A 25,148-nucleotide genomic window follows, 5' to 3' on the forward strand; every position below is an offset into this window, starting at 1 on the left:
ATTGTTATGTTACTGTGTTGCTCTCTTAGCATCCTGTCCCTTTTCTACAGGAGCTCTGAAAGCTTGTAAGAAGGATCCTGACTGTCTTCTCACTTCTGTGTCTCCAGGGCTTAGCACAGAGTGGGCACTTAGTAAATGTGGCCCTTTGGGTGTTTTTTTCTTTAGTTTACACTTGTGCAGGAATCTTCATCAACACTGAAAATGTCAAATGCCCAAAGAATATAGCCCATGAATCTGGTTATACCTGGTTTTATCTGATTAACTCCTTCACTCAAAAAGGACTATAACACATATCTCCAAGCTCAATTATTTTTCTAATGGTTTCCAAGCCCAGAATTTCCCTTTTTTTATACTGCAACATTTCTTCTGATTCATTGGCAGTACTTTCTCCTTTTAGTATAATTTAGCTGAATCTCCTACTGTTCTAGATTGTTGATGTATATTACATCCTCTGGTTTAAGGAATATTTTTTAACAGTGGCTTCCAACTCTTAATTTAATTTCTTCAGAGGCAAATATTACTTTTATTTTTTCTGGAGTGCACTTAATTCTGTTGCATTTATGTATGTAAGTATGTATTTATGTAGTTTGCTAGTTTTCATCTTATTTTTTCTTATTAGTTGTCAGATGTATTGTTATTATAACCTACGTTATCCCTGTCTTTTTCTCTTCTTTTACAGAGACAATATTCTCTTGCATCTCACTTTGGATTATTATGCAGATATTGCATAAGTTTTTTTTTTTGTCTTTTTTAATTGAGTAAGTCATATATAAAGTACAAATTTTTCTCACTTGATGTAGGGTTAGTTACTTCCTTTCTTTTTTCCTTTTTCCTTCCTTCTTTTTTGTTTTGTCTATTTTTTCTTGATTGAAGATTGAGTTATCCAAGCCTACATGACAAATCATGATTTACCTTTATATTTGTTTAAAGATTTCACATATGCCACCATTTTTTGCCACTAAGTCTTAAACTCAGAAAACACTCTGAGACACTTGGATAATTTCTAGATAAAGCTGTTGCTCAATGAATGCCACTTTTAAAATTCAAAATATATTCTAATTTCTGCAGTAGGCCAAAGGAATAATAAGTGTGGGGCCAGAGGCACTTTCTATGGAGTATTGACTAAGAGAACAAGAATGAAATTGAAAGACGGGGAAGCTATCAGTGAAAATACACTGTTCCTGGGCCCGAAACTAACTGGATATATGGATGCAAGCAAAATCTTTGGCCAAGGTAACTTTCTGCCTTTCCTCACACACTCTAGAGACTTGTAGCCCTCTCACAGGTCATTTATCTTCTCAATAATTGTTTCCTTTATGGTGCTATCTCCCCAGCCATATATCTTGATGATGGCAGACAGGTCCAAGTAACCTGATAAATTACAGATAGCAGTCTAGTCAATGAATGGCCTAGACCCCAAAATTTATTTTACCATGCCTGCAATAAAATGACTGATAAATACAAATAAGGAAGCCTAAAACTGTCTTATGACACAAGGGGGAGGTACCAGTTGAGGTACATAATCTGCTGGATGCGAACCAAAACTACATGGTTCACAGGATAGGTGATCACAAATTGGGGGAAAAAAGACAAATCAAATATATATTTTGTAAATAAAAATCATCATATGTACACTTGTTTACATAATGTGAAGACATAACTTAATGACAACACACATTGATTAACCTAAAATGTAGGATTTCATGACCAATAATGCACTAAAATTTTAAAATTAAAAATAAAACCTCTGATCAAATGTATAAATTAACTCCATAAAACAATAAAACAAAGAGCAGAATTAGTCACTAAACAACTATGCAATTTAGCATGTCAGCTAAATGGAGATGTGGGGAATAAACAATGAGCCTGCAACTGAAAACTTTATTTTTATTTTATTATTTTCCTGCGTGGCTTCTATAACTGTTAATTTTTATCACCCTCAAGTCTAGGGCTAATTCACTTCGCCTGAATAACCCCAATTTATTACATATTTAGAACCTGGAAAGGAAGACTATTTTCTTTCTTACAAAATAACGCCATTTAATTGTATCTGGGAACTATCACTGTAAAGCTGCCTGGAAAAGCCTGAACATACGCTGGCCTTCTATTCAAGCATCACTAAGTAGAGTGATCAGTCATAGACTCAGTTCACTTTTGTTCTCCTAACCCAGTTTATATTATTAACTGTCCCACATATCAGTACTAATTCTCTATGCATCACAAGTCTACAGTGGCCACATTTAATGGCTCAGATTGGAAGGACTTGAATTCCATTTAACGTGCATTTATTAAAAATACCAGGCTTTGCTCAAGGGTATATGGGTACCATAATAACACTCTTTTGATATTAGGACTTTTCTAATTCTTGATTGACAAATTATATAGTTCAATGATGCCTTATTCCTTATCCTATTGATAACCATGTAAGATGTGGCCCTCAAGGTATCAGTAATAATAACACTATCTTACTCAGAAAAAAAAAACGGCAATTTGACAAACAATATATACATTTCATAGAAATTTCAGAATTTAGGTCTACATGACTGTATAGATTATCTTAATCTGAGTCAAAATATAATAAAAATCCTAGTATCTGCCACTATAAAATAAGTTAACATAAGATAAGGAGTCCATAAGGCTAGAAAATAAATCCAAAAAAGAACATCCACTATTTTAAATTTAGTAAATATTTACTGAACATCTAATATGAGATCACTTAATGATATCTTCTAAGTACTGAATAGTAGTTTTAAACATTTACTGCCTTCATAGATGTTATATTCAATAGTTCATAAATCAGAGTCAATTTAGACCTTGCAAATGTACCTATGACAATTAGCCTTGAAATCTTATCATCATCAAGGTTTGTATCACTATTTTATTATGTTCATACTGTTGTCAGACCAGTTAGTTATTTGCACATTTATTTTACCTTGCAGAATGGCCTATAGTAGGATTTAGTCAGCCTTTGGAAGCCCAGGCCCATTATGAGATTGGAAATAATAATAGATGCATGTGTCAGTGAATTTGTGGATTTCCTGCCTAAACAAGAACAACTTATTATTATTATTTTTATTTGACTATCACCCTTCACAAGGCTACTTGTCACAGGTTCATTTGCAAGGTCTAAATTGACTCTAATTCATGTAGTATTGACTATAACACCTAAGAGGGCAGTAACTTTTCATAACTACTATTCAGTACTTACAAAAAAGCAGAACAATCTGAAAACCAACAATTCTACTTACATTACTCAGAAAATTGAGGTCACAGGGAAGACCACCATAATGAAAACTGAAAAGAGAAGCAAATACAGATAATCAAAGCTTACTGGGAGCAGAATCTTCTGGTTGAGTCAGCATGGAATTGGAATACATGAAATTTAATTGACCAAGTACCAGAGACTAAGAGTGGACTAGATGAAAAAATAACCCCCCAGGAGGCTGAGCCTTCAGAGAGTCCCCACATTTTTGTGAGCTTTACCTGCAGTATCAAGTTCTCAGAGTGAAGATCAGAGAAAATTCCCCTCATGCTTCCTTCAAGGGGTGGGGAAAAGTTACCATTTGAAATAAACCCAGAACAGTCTATCTCTTTAACAAAATCCTGCTATTTTACCAGAGCTAAGCAATGTGCACTTTACCAAAGCCTAAGCTATGTGTAGAAAAGGAAGTACCCAACGCAAATACCTTCTAGCCTTTAAAGTGGGGAAAGAGAAATACCCAACTCCAATTGCCTCTTAGCTGAGGATTGAGGAGGAGAGTAAGCTGACAAGTACTAATAAATATCACAGCTCAGGCGCACAAGCTCACAGAGCCTAAGACTTAATCATAAAATTATAGAACAGTGCCCGTCCCCATACATCTTACTATTACATCAGTAGGGCTTCTGTATAGTAATAAGGGATTATAGCTGAAAATAACTGCAAGGCTCAGACTTTATAGGAAGGAGTCTCTAGGGAAACCCAAAGCATGGTTTGGCTCTGTGCCCCCACTCAAATCTCATGTAGAATTGTAATTCCCAATGTTGGGGGAGGGACCTTGTGGGTGGTGATTGAATTGTGAGGGCAGATCTCCCTTTTGCTATTCTCATGATTGTGAGTGTGTTCTCATGAGATCTGGCTGTATACAAGTGTGTAGCACTTCCCCCTTTGTGCTTGCTCTCTCTCTGTCTCATTCTCTCTCTCTCACTTCACCATGTGAAGAAGGTACTTGCTTCCCCTTCACCCTTCTATGATTGTTAAGTTTCCTGAGGTCTCCCCAACCATGTTTCCTGTACAGCCTGTGGAACTGTGAGTCAATTAAACCTCTTTTCTTCATAAATTACCCAGTCTCAGATAGTTCTTTCTAGCAGTGTGACAACAGACTAACACTGCACCTTAGGAGGCAAAACAAGGATATCATAGATAATAGTAGCTACTGACACCTACCTCTAGAGGATACTTGGACAATTTCAGGATGCCAAATCTTATTCATTTTTTGCAATTGCCATGTGGGCCTGTATCATTAAAGTTGTATAAAGATTTAGGGTCTTCTGCCTACATACATTTTACAGATATATTTTTGGATTAGGGACATTCAATGATTAATATTTTAAAAAAGTATTTCTATCCCAACTAGGAGCTAATCTGAAATATTACTTGTTTGTATCTCTCTGTGTATGGTGTGTGAATGTATTTTTCCATTGTCGTCATTAGTAAACTGTATGGATTTTAGAAAAAAATTTTGGTCATGATATGGGAAACACCATTACTGAGGCTTCTTTTTCCAAAAACTTATTTTCTAAGCACATACCTATATGTAAATACAATGCTCACTCAAATCACTTATCTGAATTTTTTATTGTAACCTACCATGAAGAAGTGTGTTAATTTTCTGCTGCTGCACAAAAAAAGAATCCAAAACATTGTGGCTTCAAACAACACATAATTATCTCACAGTTTTCAAAACTCAGAAGTCTGAACGGGTCTTAGCTAGGTCCTCTGCAATCAAGGAATCAGCTGGAGCCAGGGTCTCAACTGAGGATTTGGATTCTTTTCCAAGATCACTGACTGTCGACAGAATTTATTTTCCCATAGTTCCTCTCAGATTCTAGTAGCCTTCTGCCTCTCCACTTTATAGGAAGATGCAATTTTCTTTTTCAAGACCAGCAACAGAGTGCCTCCTCAGTCTGTTAATATAGTTTTATATAATATAACATGATAATGGGGGTGGCATTCCATTCCCTTTGCCATGTAATGTAACATAAACAAATAAGTGGTAACCCATCTCCTTTGCAATCTTCTATTAATTAGAAGCAAGTGCTTCTTCCCCTCAAATGAAGGAAATTTAAAGGTCATGAACATGGGATAACCTGAGAGTGTGTCAGGTTGACAGGAAGACAGAGTTGTGCTGAGCCAAGTGAATGACTAGAAAATTAAGAAAAAAATCAAAGCACTTGCATGGATTTTAGCAGAACACAGAGTATCCACAACATACTATCCAATATGTCTAGTTTGCAGTAAATATTTCCTTGAGATATGCATTAAAATATGAAAGTTATATTCAAAATAAAGCACTCAGTTGAAACTAACCTGAGATTAAATTGAACTTGGACTTAACTGACTAAAGAGAAATAAGAGCCAAACGCAATGAGTGACAAAGGAGTTGATTCTGGGCAGGAAAATAAAATAGTTGTAAAGGACATAAATTAGTTGTAAAGGACAACAAATAAAATTTTAATAATGTATTATAGATTACATAATAACACGCTATTAATATTTTTATTTTAATAATTACACTGCAGCTATATAATAGAATTCAATTGTTCTCAGTAACTTAACACTGGAGTACTTAAGATAAAGAAGCATGATATCGTAATTTACTCTCAAATGGCTCAACAAGAAAATTATGTATATCCATATATCTATGTCTCTGTGTCTTTACGTCTCTATCTATCTGTCTATCTGTCTATCTATCTATCTATCTATCTATCTATCTATCTATCTATCTAAAGAAGAGGGCAAGAAAAAGAGAGGAGGGATGATGATAAAGTGAATATGCTAAATTATAGCAACACATGAGTCTTAATTAAGGATACGCAACATTTCCTTATAACATTATTACAATTCCTCTGCAAATTTGAAATTATGTGATTATAAAATTTTATATTTTTAAATATTTGTTATATTTAATTGATATTTAATCTTTTTTTTTTTTTTTTTTTTTTTTTTTTGAGATGGACTTTCACTCTTGTTGCCCAGGCTGGAGTGCAATGGCGCCATCTCAGCTCATTGCAACCTCCGCCTCCTGGGTTCAAGTGATTCTCCTGCCTCAGTCCTCCGAGTAGCAGGGATTACAGGCATGTGCCACCATGCCCGGCTAATTTTGTGTTTTTAGTAGAGACGGGGTTTCTCCATGTTGGTCAGGCTGGTCTGGAACTCCTGACCTCAGGTGATCCACCCTCCTGGACCTCCCAAAGTGCTGAGATTACAGGTATTAGTTAGTCACTGCGCCTGGACAATATTTAATCTTCTATATTTCGCTTTTTAAAAATATATAGTATATAAATTGAAAATTAAAATACATATAATATGGAAAGATGAAACAGAGACTGGAAAAAAAATATTATAAAAGTAAACTCTAGGTGTTGTGATGACAGGTAGTTATTTAGGTTTTTTCCCTTTAATTTTATACAGTTTCTACTATATGCACATGTACATATGCAAAATTGCAAGTTAAAGAACATGTAATGTTGAAATGTTAGTAGACTCAAATTAACATGTGATATTTTTCCTCCTGAAGCTCCTACAATAAAGTTACATTTTCATTTATAGCACAACTATATACTGATAATTTTTTAAAGTGAAAAATAATTCATTGAATTATATTAGCTTCATTATTTTACCAAAAATATGTAAAACTCCTTTGGGTGCCTTGAGTAACTTTAAAAATTTTACCTACAGGGAAAATATTATATTTTATAGTAAATGAAATGAGGAAAATAAATATTTGGAAATAGAGAAAATATAAAATGCATATTTTAATTATATTTACATATCATTTTAAAATTTTCTGGGTATCTCTCATTTTAATTAGAAATTGATAATTTTATATGAATAAAAAACAATAATGAGTTAAAAAGGACATCATGGAAGAAGAGTACATGAGTTTGTATTTTCAAAGAAAAATAGTGGATGAAATTTTGTTAGAAGAAATAATTTAAGTTAATTTTCTAATAATTATATGGAAAATTTCCAAATATTGTAAGTTTCATAGCAAATATCAAGATTACTTTGCAAATATTTTTGTTAGTATAATGTAAAATGTGAAAATGTGGAAAGATTGGCATTAGATCATTTCTGGTTGTCCTGAAACATGGACTTGAATATATATAGTATTGATAGTCTTGAACTAGCTACTTCAAGTGGGCTGTATTTTAGTTTCTGGACCCATGTCAGATTGTATTCAATTAAACTCATTTCAGATTCTTATGCCATATTCCATTTGAGGAAAAGTAGAGATTGTACTTGAAATTGCACCAAAGTCTAAAAGGCAATGTCAGTTTTACACATATCAGTTTTTACTGTCCTTCTTGAAATAAAAGCCATGGCATTATTTTGTCTACCAAGTAAATGCTTACAGACAAGTATGTTTATTAAAGCTAGACTGCCCAAAATCAACAATTCCATGAGTATTGGGGCCTACATAATGCAATGAGAATCATTCTAAATGATTCAATTTAAATTAAAATTATCCCCTAACATGGGATCTATATTTTATTATGTGATTGTGGCTGAAGCAATTGACATTGGAAAAAACCTAGTTAAATTAAGTTATTCAACTCAGAGACATATCCAAAAAGGAAACGAAAGAAAATACTTGAAAACTCTACTCTACCTCACTCTTTAACTCATTCATTTCTCATGAACAAATATGTGTTGACTTTTACTAGGATTTGTAATAGGCTGAATGAAGGCACTTTATGAACAAATCTGTCCTAGAATGAACATTAATCTATGACAATTTTAAATGCTCAAAATTTACAAATATATACATGGATGATTTGATGTGAATAGATAGATATCTCCTGGAATGCTGAAATAATGTGTTAATTATGAAGATAGACTTTTAGTGTATTTCTGTCTAGTGCACAGGACGTATCATGAATCAGTAATGAATGAATTGGTTTTATAATTCTGGGTACAATATGAGAAGAAGGACACTCAGTATTAGAGTTGAATTTTAGATTTAGCAAAAATGAAGTGGCTCATGAATTTGAATAAATCTTCAATGGTCGCAGTACTTTAGAAAATAATCTGCCACCTCACAACTTTAAGTTCACCAGCTGACAGGTCTAAACAAAATAAGGTTTTGTCTAAAAAATGTATTTTCTTATGTTAAATGTTCTTTGATAATTTTTTTGCTTTTATAGAAGCTTAATTTGTTTCACTGTTATTTCATTATTTCAGTGCATAGTTATATTTTAGAAAAACCATATCACTAGTCATTTCAAATTAGAGAACTTCTATATCTAAATATATGTCACCAAAAAAACATTTATGGTTATTTGATATGTTTACAGATTCTATTACATATGCTTCAGTGTTTTCCTTTTTGAAACAAAAAAGCATGGAGCAATATAAAATTTATCTTGCCCACCAAATATTTGTATAATGTACCAAAATAAAATAATGAATAAAAAGATAATTCTGAATATTGAAGCACAGAGGGGTGAAAAGAACCTAACATCTGTTATCAAACTATAGGAAATCATAAATGTGAACATGCTATTATTTCTCAAAAAGAAAAATGTTGAGTATCCACAGTTGATCTTTCTTCTCTCTCTGTCCTATTCCTGCCTTTGTCAGAGAAAACATTCTTTTCTCATATACCCAGTCCCCATTTATCATGAATGTTAGCTATCTTTTATATCTTTTATTCTGCTGACAGGAAAAAATGAAAATATAACTTCTATTAATCTGCAGGCTAACATTACCGATCGTACTTCATATGTAGTAATGATCAGTTTACTGCCTCATAAAACCGAAAATAATTAACTTCTAAAAGTATAGAATGGACAGATGACTCCAGGCAAAATTAAAATGATTTGTGCATATATGGAATATTAAATTACTTCATAAAATATTTAACCATAATTTGTTTAAAAAAAGAAAGAAACTTCAAGGCCAATGTCTTAGCTTGTGTTCCAGCTGGGAAGCAGAACCTGGAATCAATACTAGTATTCAGATAGTTTATTTTGGGACATGACACCAAAGGAAGTGAATTACAAGTATAAAAGAGGCAAGGAGATAAAGGCAATACAAGGCTATACAATTAAGGTGATCTCCACTGTAAACATTTGGCACTTGATGTTCCTGGAACCCCCTGGGTTTTGCTATATAGAAAGAAAATCAAAATTGTCCTTTGAAGGGAGGAAAAAAGTGACCATTTTCCCCCACACCCCATTCCCAGTGGACAAGAGTTGCTCTAGAGTGTTCTAACACTGTCACTTCCAGGTTGTCTAATTCTCCCACGCATCCTGCATAGGTTCATTTGAAAAGTCTTGTAGCAAAAGTGAGGCAATAGGTGTTGTGGCTAAGGAGAGTGAGAGGTCAGAATGCCAGGTTATACCTATATCAATCTGGTTGACTGAGCAATGGCTGCAGGTGCACAAGAATATGTTAGGCAGATACACAACTACTAAAAGAGAACTAAAGTATTGCATTCCTAAATTAGAACTTGGATTTTAATTAAATATAGAGGAATGGTTATATAATTTTAGCCAAGCTCTTTGTTCCTGCCATGGTATTTGATTTGTCATATAGTCTCCCGCAGAATATAAAGTGAATGAAATCTTTTTTTTTTTTTTTTTTTATTATACTCTAAGTTTTAGGGTACATGTGCACATTGTGCAGGTTAGTTACATATGTATACATGTGCCATGCTGGTGCGCTGCACCCACTAATGTGTCATCTAGCATTAGGTATATCTCCCAATGCTATCCCTCCCCCCTCCCCCGAACCCACCACAGTCCCCAGAGTGTGATATTCCCCTTCCTGTGTCCATGTGATCTCATTGTTCAATTCCCACCTATGAGTGAGAATATGCGGTGTTTGGTCTTTTGTTCTTGCGATAGTTTACTGAGAATGATGGTTTCCAATTTCATCCATGTCCCTACAAAGGATATGAACTCATCATTTTTTATGGCTGCATAGTATTCCATGGTGTATATGTGCCACATTTTCTTAATCCAGTCTATCATTGTTGGACATTTGGGTTGGTTCCAAGTCTTTGCTATTGTGAATAGTGCCGCAATAAACATACGTGTGCATGTGTCTTTATAGCAGCATGATTTATAGTCCTTTGGGTATATACCCAGTAATGGGATGGCTGGGTCAAACAGTAATTCTAGTTCTAGATCCCTCAGGAATGGCCACACTGACTTCCACAATGGTTGAACTAGTTTACAGTCCCACCAACAGTGTAAAAGTGTTCCTATTTCTCCACATCCTCTCCAGCACCTGTTGTTTCCTGACTTTTTAATGATTGCCATTCTAACTGGTGTGAGATGATATCTCATAGTGGTTTTGATTTGCATTTCTCTGATGGCCAGTGATGATGAGCATTTCTTCATGTGTTTTTTGGCTGCATAAATGTCTTCTTTTGAGAAGTGTCTGTTCATGTCCTTCGCCCACTTTTTGATGGGGTTGTTTGTTTTTTTCTTGTAAATTTGTTTGAGTTCATTGTAGATTCTGGATATTAGCCCTTTGTCAGATGAGTAGGTTGCGAAAATTTTCTCCCATGTTGTAGGTTGCCTGTTCACTCTCATGGTAGTTTCTTTTGCTGTGCAGAAGCTCTTTAGTTTAATTAGATCCCATTTGTCAATTTTGGCTTTTGTTGCCATTGCTTTTGGTGTTTTGGACATGAAGTCCTTGCCCACGCCTATGTCCTGAATGGTAATGCCTAGGTTTTCTTCTAGGGTTTTTATGGTTTTAGGTCTAACGTTTAAATCTTTAATCCATCTTGAATTGATTTTTGTATAAGGTGTAAGGAAGGGATCCAGTTTCAGCTTTCTACATATGGCTAGCCAGTTTTCCCAGCACCATTTATTAAATAGGGAATCCTTTCCCCATTGCTTGTTTTTCTCAGGTTTGTCAAAGATCAGATAGTTGTAGATATGCAGCATTATTTCTGAGGGCTGTTCCATTGATCTATATCTCTGTTTTGGTACCAGTACCATGCTGTTTTGGTTACTGTAGCCTTGTAGTATAGTTTGAAGTCAGGTAGTGTGATGCCTCCAGCTTTGTTCTTTTGGCTTAGGATTGACTTGGCAATGCGGGCTCTTTTTTGGTTCCATATGAACTTTAAAGTAGTTTTTTCCAATTCTGTGAAGAAAGTCAGACGACATGATTGTTTATCTAGAAAACCCCATCGTCTCAGCCCAAAATCTCCTTAAGCTGATAAGCAACTTCAGCAAAGTCTCAGGATACAAAATCAATGTACAAAAATCACAAGCATTCTTATACACCAACAACAGACAAACAGAGAGCCAAATCATGGGTGAACTCCCATTCACAATTGCTTCAAAGAGAATAAAATACCTAGGAATCCAACTTACAAGGGATGTGAAGGACCTCTTCAAGGAGAACTACAAACCACTGCTCAAGGAAATAAAAGAGGACACAAACAAATGGAAGAACATTCCATGCTCATGGGTAGGAAGAATCAATATCGTGAAAATGGCCATACTGCCCAAGGTAATTTACAGATTCAATGCCATCCCCATCAAGCTACCAATGAATGAAATCTTTCAATGTCTACGCTGCCATAATGGCATATGTTTTTGTTATCTCTAACTTGATTGTTTTTCGTTAGACAGAATCAGACTGAATTTCTGAAATGTATAATCCCCAGTAAATAAAGATATTTATTCATAGGCTGGAATGACATACGAAGGATTCCTAGGTGGCTATGATATATGGCTAAGTGACTTTTGGTTCATTTACATCCCTAAAAATTCACTTACAGGCCAACCTCACAAGTATTGCAGGTTGGGTTCCAGACCACCGCAATAAAGTGAATATTGCAATAAAACGAGTCACACTATATTTTTTGTTCCCTAGTTCATATACAAATTATGTTTATACTATAGTGTAGTCTATTAGGTGTGCAATAGCATCATGTCTTAAAAACTAATGCACATACTTTAAAAATATTGCTAAAATTTGTAACAAAGTGAGCACATGCTGTTGGAAAAATGGCTTCAATAGACTTGCTTGATGCAGGATTGTCACAAACCTTCAATGTATAAAAACCACATTATCTGCAAAGGGTAATAAAGCAAAACTTAATAAAATGAGGTATGTCTGTACTCACGAATAAGTTAGCATCCTTATAGTATTGAAAAAGACAAGTCTTTAAGTACAAATTCATACCGATTTTTTTTCTATGTTCCAATACTTTACTCCATAACTTTTTTTAAATGAAGGAAATACACTATTGGAAAATAAACTGTGGAAAAGTGAATTCAATTGATTGATTTTCAAACTATTGCCACAAGTGGAAAGTTTATTTAAAGGCTGACCAACATCCAATTTATGGATCAATAAAGTCATTTTCAAATACGAAGGGAATATCTCGCCTGTATGATCACAATTTTCTCTAAGTCCTACATGGTGCATATCCAGTCTACTTCTCTCGGTATAGTCAGCAAGTGCAGGCGACCCTCTCTGTCTGTGGGTTCTGCATCTGCAGATTCAACGAAATGCAGATGGAAAATATGTTTAAAAATACGATAAAAACACAATACAACATTAAAACTAATACAAATTTTAAATCAATACAGTATAACAGGTATTTACATAGTATTTACATTTGATTAGAAATTATAACTAATCTAGAGATGACTTAAGGTAGGTGGCAGAATGTGCATGAGCTATATGCAAATACTACCCTATTTTAAATAAGGACCTTAGCATCAGGGGATTTTGGTATCCACAGTTGTTCTGGAACTAATAGCTGGTGGATGCTGAGGAACAATTGTTAATATTAAATTGTTACTTACTTTTCTATGTGTAAGAGTTATCTCTTCAACAAGATTAATATTTCCTCAAAAATAGGCATTTTTAAAATTCTTAATATACCTAACACCCAAAATGATCTCTATGAATAGTAAATGACCAATAAATGTCTTATTTATTTATTTAATTTTTTATTATATTTTAAGTTCTGAGATACATGTGCAAAACATGCAGATTTGTTACATAGGTATACATGTGCCATGGGGTTTGCTGCACCAATCAACCTGTCATCTACATTAGGTATTTCTCCTAATGCTATCCATCCCCCTGCCCCCAACTCCCTGACAGACCCTGGTGTGTGATGTTCCCCTACCTGTGTCCATGTGTTCTCATTGTTCAACTCCCACTTATGAGTGAGAACATGTGGTGTTTGGATTTCTGTTCTTGTGTTAGTTTGCTGAGAATGATGGTTTTCAGCTTCATCCATGTCCTTGCAAAGGACATGAACTCATCCTTTTTTATGGCTGCATTGTATTCCATGGTGTGCCACATTTTCTTTATCCAGTCTATAATTGATGAGCATATGGGTTGGTTCCAAGTCTTTGCTATTGTGAACAGTGCTGCAATAAACATACTTGTGCATGAGTCTTTATAGTAGAATAAATTATAATCCGTTGGGTAAATACCCAATAATAGGATTGCTGGGTCAAATGGTATTACTGGTTCTAGATCCTTGAGGAATTGCCACACTGTCTTCCACCATGGTTGAACTAATTCACACTCCCATCAACAGTATAAAAGCATTCCTGTTTCTCCACGTCCTCTCAAGCATCTGCTGTTTTCTGACTTTTTAATGATCGTCATTCTAACTGCCATGAGATGACGTCTCACTGTGGTTTTGATTTGCGTTTCTTTAATGACCTGCGATGATGAGCATTTTTTCATGTTTGTTGGCCGCATACATGTCTTCTTTTGAGAAGCATCTATTCATATCCTTTGCCCACTTTTTGATGGTTTTTTTTTTTTCTTGTAAATTTGTTTAAGTTCTTTGTGGATTCTGGATATTAGCCCTTTGTCAGATGGATGGATTGCAAAAATTTTTCCCCATTCTGTAAGTTACCTGTTCACTCTGATGATAGTTTTTTTTTTTTTTTTTTTTTTTTGCTGTGCAGAAGCTCTTTAGTTTAATTAGATCCCATTTGTCTATTTTGTCTTTTGTTGTCATTGCTTTTGGTGTTTTAGTCATGAAGTCTTTGCCAATGCCTGTGTCCTGAATGGTATTGCCTAGATTTTCTTCTAAAATTTTTATGGCTTTTGGTCTTACATTTAAGTCTTTAATGCATCTTGAGTTAATTTTTGTATGTAAGGAATGGATCTAGTTTCAGCTTTTTGCATATGGCTAGCCAGTTTTCCTGACACCATTTATTAAATAGGGAATCATTTCCCCATTGCTTCTTTTTGTCAGGTTTGTCAAAGATCAGATGGTTGTAGATGTGTGGTGTTATTTCTGAGGGCTCTATTCTGCTCTGTTCCATTGGTCTGTATATCTGTTTTGGTACCAGTACCATGCTGTTTTGGTGACTTTAGCCTTGTAGTATAGTTTTAAAGTCAGCTTTGTTCTTTTTGCTTAGGATTTGCTTGGCTATGTGGGCTCTTTTTGGTTCCATATGAAATTTATAGTAGCTTCTTCCAATTCTGTGAAGAAAGTCAATGGTAGCTTGATGGGGATGGCATTGAATCTATAAATTACTTTGGGCAGTGTGGCCATTTTCAAGATATTGATTCTTCCTACCCATGAGCATGGAACGTTTTTCCATTTGTTTATGTCCTCTCTTATTTCCTTGAGCAGTGATTTGTAGTTCTCCTTGAAGAGGTCATTCATATCCATTGTAAGTTGTATTCCTAGGTATTTTATTATCTTAGTAGCAATTGTGAATGGGAGTTCACTCATGATTTGGCTCTGTTTGTCTGTTATTGGTGTATAGGAATTTTTGAGATTTTTGCACATTGATTTTGTATCCTGAGACTTTGCTGAAGCTGCTTATCAGCTTAAGGAGATTTTGGGCTGAGACAATGGGGTTTTCTAAATATACAATCATGTTATCTGCAAACAGAGACAATTTGACTTCCTTTTTTCCTAATTGAATACCCTTTATGTCTTTCTCTTGCCTGACTGCCCTGGCCAGAACTTCCAATACTATGTTGAATAGGAGTGGTAAGAGAAAGCATCCTTGTCTTGTGCCAGTTTTCAAAGGGAATGCTTCCAGTTTTTGCCCATTCAGTATGATGTTGGCTGTGGGTTTGTCATAAATAGCTCTTATTATTTTTAGATACATTCCATCAATACCTAGTTTATTGAGAGTTTTTTGCATTAATAGGTGTTGAATTTTGTCAAAGGCCTTTTCTGCCTCTATTGAGATAATCACGTGGGTTTTGTCATTGGTTCCGTTTATGTGATGGATTACGTTTATTGATTTGCATATGTTGAACCAGCCTTGCATCCCAGGGATGAAGCCAACTTGATCGTGGTGGACAAGCTTTTTGATGTGCTACTGGATTCGGTTTGTCAGTATTTTATTGATGAGATTTACATTGATGTTCATCATGGATATTGGCCTAAAATTTTCTTCTTTTTGTTGTGTCTCTGCCAGGTTTTGGTATCAGGATGATGCTGGCCCCATAAAATGAGTTAGGGAAGATTCCCTGTTTTTCTATTGTTTGGAATAATTTTGGAAGTAATGGTACCAGCTCCTCTTTGTACCTCTGGTAGAATTCAGCTGTGAATTCATCTGGTCCTGGACGTTTTTTGGTTGGTAGGCTGTTAATTACTACCTCAATTTCAGAACTTGTTATTGGACTATTCAGGGATTCTACTTCTTCCTGGTTTAGTCTCGGGAGTGTTTATGTGTCCAGAATTTGTCCATTTCTTCTAGATTTTCCAGTTTATTTGCATAGAAGTGTTTATAGTATTCTCTGATGGTAGTTTGTATTTCTGTGGGATTGGTAGTGATACCCCCTTTATTATTTTTTATTGCATCTATTTGATTCTTCTCTTCTTTATTAGCCTGGCTAGTGGTCTATTTTGTTAATCTTTTCAAAAAACCAGCTCCTGGATTCATTGATTTTTTTAATGGTTTTTCATGTCCCGATTTCCTTCAGTTCTTCTCTGATCTTAGTTGCTTCTTGTCTTCTGCTAGTTTTTGAATTTGTTTGCTCTCACTTCTCTAGTTCTTTTAATTGTGATGTTAGGGTGTCAATTTTAGATCTTTCCTGCTTTCTCTTGTGGGCATTTAGTGCTATAAATTTCCCTCTACACACTGCTTTAAATGTGTCCCAGAGATTTTGGTATGTTGTGTCTTTGTTCTTATTGGTTTCAAAAAACATCTTTATTTCTGCCTTAATTTCATTATTTACCCAGTAGCTTTTCAAGAGCAAGTTGTTCACTTTCCATGTAGTTGTGCGGTTTTCAGTGATTTCTTAATCCTGAGTTCTAATTTGATTGCACTGTGGTCTGAGAGACTGTTTCTTTCGATTTTCTTTCTTTTGCATTTGCTGAGGACTGTTATACTTCAAATTATGTCATCAATTTTAGAATAAATGCAATGTGTTGCTGGGAAGAATGTATATTCTGTTGATTTTGGGTGGAGAGTTCTGTAGATGTCTATTAGGTCCGCTTGGTCGACAGCTGAGTTCAAGTCCTGAATATCCTTGTTAATTTTCTGTCTCATTGATTTGTCTAATATTGACAGCGGGGTGTTAAAGTCTCCCATTATTATTGTGTGGGACTCTAAGTCTCTTTGTAAGTAAAGACTTAAGAACTGGTTTTATGAATCTGGGTGTTCCTTTATTGGGTGCATATATATATATTTAGGATAGTTAGCTCTTCATGTTGCATTGATCCTTTACCATTATGTAATGCCCTTCTTTGTCTCTTTTGATATTTGTTGGTTTAAAGTTTGTTTTATCAGAGACTAGGATTGCAATGTCTGCTTTTCTTTTCTTTTTTTTTTCTTTCCATTTGCATGGTAAATCTCTCTCCATCCCTTTATTTTGAGCCTATGTATGTCTTTGCACACGAGAGGGGTCTCTTGAATACAGCACACCAATGGTTCTTGACTCATTATCCAATTTGCCAGTCTGTGTCTTTTAATTGGGGCATTTAGCCTGTTTACATTTAAGGTTAATATTTTTATGTGTAAATATGATCCTGTCATTATGAAGCTACCTGGTTATTTTGACTATTAGTGATGCAGTTTCTTCATAGAATTGATGGTCTTTACAATTTGGTTTTTGCAGTGGCTGGTAACTGTTGTTCCTTTCCATGTTTAGTGCTTCCTTCAGGAGCTCTTGTAAGGCAGGCTTGGTGGTCACAAAATCTCAGCATTTGCTTGTCTGTAAAGGATTTTATTTCTCCTTCATTTATGAAGGTTAGTTTGGCTGGATATGAAATTTTGGTTTGATAATGTTTTTCTTTAAGAATGTCGAATATTGGCCTCCACTCTCTTCTGGCTTGCAGGGTTTCTGCAGAGAGATCTGCTGTTAGTCTGGTGGGCTTCCCTTTGTGGGTAACCTGACCTTTCTCTCTGGCTGCCCTTACCATTTTTAACTTTATTTCAACCTTGGTGAATCTTATGTATCTTGGGGTTGCTCTTCTCGAGGAATATCTTTGTGGTGTTCTCCGTATTTCCTGAATTTGAATGTTGGCCTGCCTTGCTAGGTTGGAGAAATTCTCCTGAATAATATCCTGAAAAGTGTTTTCCAACTTGGTTCCATTCTCCCCGTCACTTTCAGGTACACCAATCAAATACAGATTTGTTCTTTTCACATAGTCCCATATTTCTTGGAGGCTTTGTTCATTTCTTTTCACTCTTTTTTCTCTAATCTTGTCTTCTCACTTTATTTCATTGAGTTGACCTTCATTCTCTGATATCCTTTCTTCTGCTTGATGCATTCAGCTATTGATACTTGTATATGCTTCATGAAGTTCTTGTGCTGTGTTTTTCTTCTCCATCAGGTCATTTATGTTCTTCTTTCAGCTGGTTATTCTAGTTAGCAATTTTTCTAACCTTTTTTTAAGGTTCTTAACTTCCTTGCATTGGGTTAGAACATGCTCCTTTACCTCAAAGGAGTTTGTTATTACCCACCTTCTGAAGCCTACTTTTGTCAACTCATCAAACTCATTCTCTGTCCAGTTTTGTTCCCTTGCTGGTGAGGAGTTGTGATCCTTTGAAGGAGAAGAGCCATTCTAGTTTTTGGAATTTTCAGCTTTTTTGCGCTGGTTTCTCCCATCTTCATGGGAGATTGATGTTTGGTCTTTGATGTTGGTGATGTTGATACTATTCCTTTCTGTTTGCTAGTTTTCCTTCTAATAGTCAGGCTCCTCTGCTTCAGGTCTGCTGGAGTTTGCTGGAGGTCCACTCAAGACCCCGTTTGCCTGGGTATTACCAGCAGAGGCTGCAGAACAACCAAGATTGCTGCCTGTTCCTACCTCTGGAAGGTTCATCCCAGAGGGTCACCCACAAGTTGCCAGCCAGAGCTCTTCTCCATGAGGTATCTATTGGCCCCTACTGGGAGGTGTCTCCCAGTCTGGATACATGGGAGTTCAGGGACCCACTTGAGGAGGCAGTCTGTCCCTTATCAGAGCTTAAATGCTGTACTAGGGGAACTGCTGCTCTCTTCAGAACTGTCAGGCAGGGATGTTTAATTCTGCTGAAGCAGCTCCCCCAGCCATTTCTTCCCCCAGGTGCTCTGTCCCAGGGGGCTCTGGTGGGCTCCACCCAGTTCAAACTTCCAGGTGGCTTTGTTTACACTGTGAAAGTAAAACCGCCTACTCAAGCCTCAGCAATGGTGATTGCCCCTCTTCCCATCAACCTCTAGCATCCCAGGTTAACCTCAGACTACTGTGCTAGCAGCAAGAATTTCAAGCCAGTGGATCTTAGCTTGCTGGGCTCTGTGGGGGTGGGACCTGATGAGCCAGGCACTGGAGAGAATCTCCTGGTCTTTTGTTTGTGAAGACCATGGGAAAAATGCAGTATCTGGGCCGGAATGTACTGTTCCTCCCCGTACAGTCTCTCACAGCTTCCCTTGGCTAGGAATGGGAAATCCCCCAACCCCTTGTGCTTCCTGGGTGAGGTGACACCCCACCCTCCTTTGGCTCACCCTCCTTGGGCTGCACCCAATGTCCAACCAGTTCCAATGAGATGAACTGTGTACCTCAGTTGGAAATGCAGGAATCACCCGCCTTCTGCGTGGATCTCACTGGGAGCTGCAGACTGCAGCTGTTCCTATTTGCCCATCTTGCCAGCTACCCAATAATGGGTAGCTTTTACTTTGGATTTAGCTTTACTTGTTAACAAGGAGAGATTTTTAGGTTGTAAGTTTTATGATTATGTTCTTCACATAAATTATGTTATGAAATTTTAATTCTAATCTTTTGTGATAGGCATTTTATTTCAAATTGAAAGATCCTAAGTGAGGAAATAATTGAAAACTGTCAAATAAGTGGTTATCTATACAGACATATAAAATCTAACTACAGATTTGTTAACTGAATCAATATGCCTTTCTCATGATAAAATGATATATTTTACATAATAGTGTGTCAGAGTGATCCTTTATAAAAGCTCTGTACTTCAAAGGTGGATGCATAGCTATATTCAGAGCGAACACCTTTTTTGCTAGCCATGTGTTTAACCTAAAGAATTACTTATACAACTATTTTAGAATAATTACATTTTTACATTTTTTATCTAAGGGAATTATTGCTATGGTACGAGAGAAACAATAACATTTATCTACAATATGAGAAAAACTAGTCCACAGCTTTCTGTTTGTGAATCAAAGGATGTGAGTAGACAATTCTCAAAATAAGATATAAAAATGACCAAAATAAGTATGAAAAATTACCAACTTCACTAGTTATCAGGGAAATGTAAAATAAAACCACAATGAGATACCACCTTACTCCTGTAAGAATGGCCATAATTAAAAAAATAAAAAAAAAAATTGATGTTGGCTTGGATGTGGTGCAAAGGGAAGACTTCTACACGCTAGCAGGAATGTAAACTAGTATAAGCAATGTGGTTATACCGTGTGTTAGAAAACAGTATGAATATTCCTTAAAGAAATAAAAATAGAATTATCATTTGTTCCAGCAATCCTACTACTGGGTATGTAACCAGAGGAAAAGAAGTCATTATATGAAAAAGACACTTGCACACACATGTTTATAGCAGCACAATTCACAATTGCAAAAATATGGAGCCAACCCAAATGCCCATCAACCAACAAGTGGATAAAGAAAATGTGGTATATCTACACCACAGAATACTACTCAGCCATAAAAAGGAATGAAATAACGGCATTTGCAGCAACTTGTATAGAGTTAGAGGCCATTATTCTAAGTGAAGTAAATAAGTAATGGACAACTATCATGCGTTCTCCCTTATAAGTGAGAGTTAAGCTATGAGAATACAAAGGCATAAGAATGATACAATGGACTTTGGGGGTTGGGGGAAGTGTGGGAGGGGGTGAGGAATAAAAGACTACATATCGGGTACAGTGCACACTGCTCAGGTGATAGATGCACCAAAATCTCAGAAATCACCAATAAAGAACTTATTTATGTAACCAACAACCACCAGTTCCCCCAAAACTATTGAAATAAAAAAATCATGATTTTAATAAAATCATACGTTATCCTGCAGTTTCAATGAGTTGAATGTATGTGTTTGTAGTAACATATGTATACATTCATTCTAGCATGTATACACTCATATCTATAATTATTACTTTATATATCAATGTATTAAAATATGCATGAGTTCAAGATAGATATCTTCTCTAAAAGTGTACCATCGGGCTCATTCTAACCTCCTCCTGTGCTGATTTGTAACTTTTTTCTCTGACAGAGAAAAATTTGGTTCCCATTATCTGAAATAAATTTATTTATTTGTACAACTCTAGTATACATGTAAAATAGTTTCAGAATAGTTAACTTGTACCTATGTGAGAAATATAATTAATAATTAGACTACAGTATTTGTGTACAGCCTTTTTGTTGTTTTAGCTTACAGTAACTGGTCAAGATACTTTTAAAGTTATTTAGGTCAGTTGCTATTTTCCTTACTCCTTTCCGTAAGTAGTTAGATTGATTTTTCACAGCCTGCATCCCATCCTTGAACCCTAAGTGACAGATCTTTTTTAAAGTATTTTTATTTATCTCCTCTACTGGCTTATGTGTCAGAGTTCAACCAGAGAAGCAGGACCAGTAGGATGGATAGATAACAGGGAATTGGATTAAACATTCATGGTGGCTGGTTGAACAGTAGCTGCAAGGCTGTTTTTGAGTCTAATGCTGGAGCTCAAGCTAAATCCATGGACAGTCAGGAATGAAAGATCATGAGTAGCCTGCAACCCCACAAGCTGGAACCTATAAGAATGAATTGAAACACGTGTCCTTGTTCATTCTTTTTGTCTCTAACCTTGAGGACATGAGTATCCTGCAGAAGCCAGGTCTTTCATCAAAGAGTTCAACACACATTGGCCTATGAGTCAGAGAAACTGAAGGAGGATACAAGGCAAGGTAGAGCAATTGCAGACACGGCTGCTGCTTCACACCAATGAGGTGAGTCAGCCGATTAGCAACAGTGTGTGTGTGTGTGTGTCTGCGCACACGTGTATGCTACAAAATGGCTATTGCCTCCCTTGCGCCCTCATGTGAGAATCTTCTTGGTAGTCCACCCTAACCAGAAAAATAGAAATATATTTGTGAAATGTGATTCAGCCTGGCCAAACTAACACTCACAAGTCCATCATAGCTTATTTGCTATATGTCTGTTCTTGTTTCTCAGTTGTTACTCAAGGGAGCATTAGCAGCATTTACCTGAATTTCTGTTATACTACATTCCACTTTTCTGAATTTCTATTATACTAAGTTCCATATTACAGCTATATGTCTGTTATTGTTTTTCAGTTGTTACTTAAGGGAGTAAAATGTGTACATTTAATTTAGCTATATTTACTTTAATTTGTTATACTAAATTCCACATTTGTGAAGTTTTCATGTATTTTCTTCTAAATATTCTGTAAACTATATAATTTTTTGCTCTAGTCAGTTGCCTTTTATGAACACATTTTTAAATAGTATTTTATGTCTATTCCCATAGGTATCATTCTGTATTCTTCATTACTTCCTATAGAGCCAGAGGTTTTTAGCTAGCGTCATTTTTTTTAACCAGAAAAATTTCTTGTTTTGCAGTTTTTCTAATTGGATCTTTCTTTCTTTTGTTCTTACTTTACTTTTCTGTCTTTGAAAATATCTCTACTGGGCGTGGTGGCTCACGCCTGTAATCCCAACACTTTGGGAGGCCAAAGGGGGCAGATCACAAAGTCAGGAGGTCAAGACCAGCCTGACCAACATGGTGAAACCTGTCTCTGCCAAAAATACAAAAAATAGCCTGGAGTGGTGGCATGTGCCTGTAATCCCAGCTACTCGGGAGACTGAGGCAGGAGAATCACTTGAACCCAGGAGGTGGAGGTTGTAGTGAGCCGAGATCGTGCCACTGCACTCCAGCCTGGCGACAAAGTGAGACTCTGTCTCAAAAAACAAACAAACAAACAAACAAACAAAAAACTCTTTTCTATAGATATTGAAAAATTTTTATTCTGTTATGAAATTTTACCTTTCCTTTTTTTGGCTCCTTTTCAGATTTTCTCCTTATTTTGTTTTTAGCAATTTAAGTATGATTCATTGTGTTTTAATTTTATTTTGATTTATTCTTTGGATTTATTAATTTTATTGGATCTCTGATCTAGTATTTTTTATGAAATAAAGAAATTGTCATACTTATTTAAATGTTTTGTCTTCAGTTTTTTCTTTATATAGGTTCCAATGATATCTCCTTTGTCTTCTAAAGAAAATTTTGATTTTAAAAGACATAATTATTTATTTATATATATTATATATGTATATTCAGAATTTATAATATTTAACAAACAATAATATTTCATTTCTAATAGTTACACTAATCCAGTTAAATAATTTTTTTACAGCCAACTCTTCATAATATATGTTCCACTACACACACAAATGCGGTATTTCAAAATTGTTTAAAATGCTATTTTGAGCCGCAATTTATAACATACACTCTATATAGTTAGGTCCATTTGTGTCTTTATACTGTTGATGTTTAGAAGTTGTTGCTATGGTATAAATACGTCCCCCAAAATTCATACTTAGTTTTTGCTCTCGTCTGTTGCCTTTTACCAAAAAAGGTTTTGTTTTGTTTTGTTTTGTTGATTTTCTTATTTTATCTTACTTTAAGTTCTGGGATACGTGTGTGGAATGCGCAGGTTTGTTACATAGGTATACATATGCCATGGTGGTTTGCTGCACATATCAACCTATCATCTAGGTTTTAAGCCCCTCATGCATTAGGTATTTGTCCTAATGCTCTCCCTCCCCTTGCCCCTGAAAATATTTTAAATAGTATTTTATATCTATTCCCGTATTTACCATTTCTGTATTTATATATTGAAACTTAATTGCCAATGTGATGTTGTTAAGAGCTGGGGCCATTAGGAGGTGATTAAGTCATGTGGGTGGATCCCAAATGAATGGATTAGTGACCTTGCAAAAGAGGTGCAAGTGAGCTGTTCACTCCTTTTTGACCTTTTGCTCTTCTGTTTTTCTGGTACGTGAGGACCCAGCATTCAAGGCACCATCTTGGAAGCAGATATAGACCTTTATCAGACAAGGAACCTGCCTATGTGTTGTTCTTGGATTACAAAGCCTTCAGAACTGTGAGAAATAAATTTCTATTTCTTATAAATTACCTAGTTTCACACACTTTGTTATAGTAATACAAACACACTAGGTCAGTTTTTATTTTTGTTAAACTTTGATTGTGTATGAATAAACATAATTCCAAGGTAAAAACCTGTAAAATAGCATACATTCAAAAAAATATAATTTTAATTTTTGTCTCCTGTCCTGGTTCATTCCCTCTCTTATATGTAGCTATTTATAATTTTTGGTTTAACTCTCTATTATGTCTTTGTGTGGCTCTCTGTGTGTCTGCATACTTTTATTTCCATTCCCTTTCACATACAAAATATTACATATTATAAATCATAGAGTCTGCTTTTATTCTGAATAATATATACTAGAAGACCTGTGTTACAGTTATTGATTGCTGTGAAACAAACCACCTCCAAATCTTACTCACTTAAAACAGTACCTTTTAAAAAATTATTCATCACAATTTGGTGAGGATTTGCTTGAGTAATGCTTCTTTTCTATGTAGCACTTATAGAGACCACTCAGTGATATTTGTATAGTCCGTGGGGTGCTCTACATGGGTCAAGATGATTTTCCTCTCATCTGGGAACTTAGCTAAGATGGTTAAAAACTGGGCCTGCCAGGGACTTTCTATGTGTGTCTGTTTGAGCTTAGTATTTCCACATGATGAGTCATTAGAGGCTTTAAGAACAAGTGTTCAAATGATCAAAGGTGATGTTGCATGGCCTTTGTATGACCTACTCAGAGAAATCATGTAGTGACTCTTGCAACATTCTCCATTAATTGGAGCAGTTACAACTCCTTGATTCAAAGAGAGAAGATATATAACCATCTTTTAGTGTGAGCTACGTTAAAGTATTTGTGGCCATGTTTTAAAACTGCCCCATTTCCCTGGAGTATTCATTTGGGATAGCTAGATCAGTGGATTAGTGAATTAGTAAATAATAATAATAATACAATCTTATTACTAACTATGCATTTTATTGTAATTTATATTGTTAATAGTATACAAATGGCACAACAATAACTGCTATCAAGAAAATGCAAAGTGAGGTAATATACCTGGACATATTGTTTAGGAAGAGGTGATTGAAACTTTGTTTAGTTGAGAAAGTCTTCTCTGAGGAGAGGACTTTTGAATTGAAATCTAAATGGTATGAAAGTCAGGGGAAACAGTTTCAGCTCAAGAAAGAACTGTGAGAAAGCAATCAGGGTGGCATAGTTTTTGAAGGGATAAATAGCAAAAATAAATAAATAAATAAATAAAAGCAAGGAACACTGTGCTTGAAGCATATTGCACAACTAGAGAAGATATGAGGTCTCAGATATAAGGTACAGGTCTTTTTGAGT

General features: G+C 35.4%; 1 long non-coding RNA gene across 2 annotated transcripts; it reads left to right on the top strand.

Annotated features, from left to right (window-relative positions):
• Positions 1-839: 839 nt before the first annotated feature.
• LOC107986228 (uncharacterized) lies at positions 840-23,796 on the top strand. 2 transcript variants are annotated; one of them, XR_001741512.1, is made up of 4 exons: positions 840-1,233; positions 18,389-18,547; positions 21,487-21,623; positions 23,701-23,796. It is a non-coding gene; the product is annotated as an uncharacterized LOC107986228 (long non-coding RNA). The 2 variants fall into 2 exon arrangements; XR_002959838.1 differs by lacking the exon at positions 18,389-18,547.
• The last annotated feature ends 1,352 nt before the right edge of the window (positions 23,797-25,148 follow it).

This window comes from Homo sapiens, chromosome 4, assembly GCF_000001405.40.
Source record: "Homo sapiens chromosome 4, GRCh38.p14 Primary Assembly".
Taxonomy (NCBI): domain Eukaryota; kingdom Metazoa; phylum Chordata; class Mammalia; order Primates; family Hominidae; genus Homo; species Homo sapiens.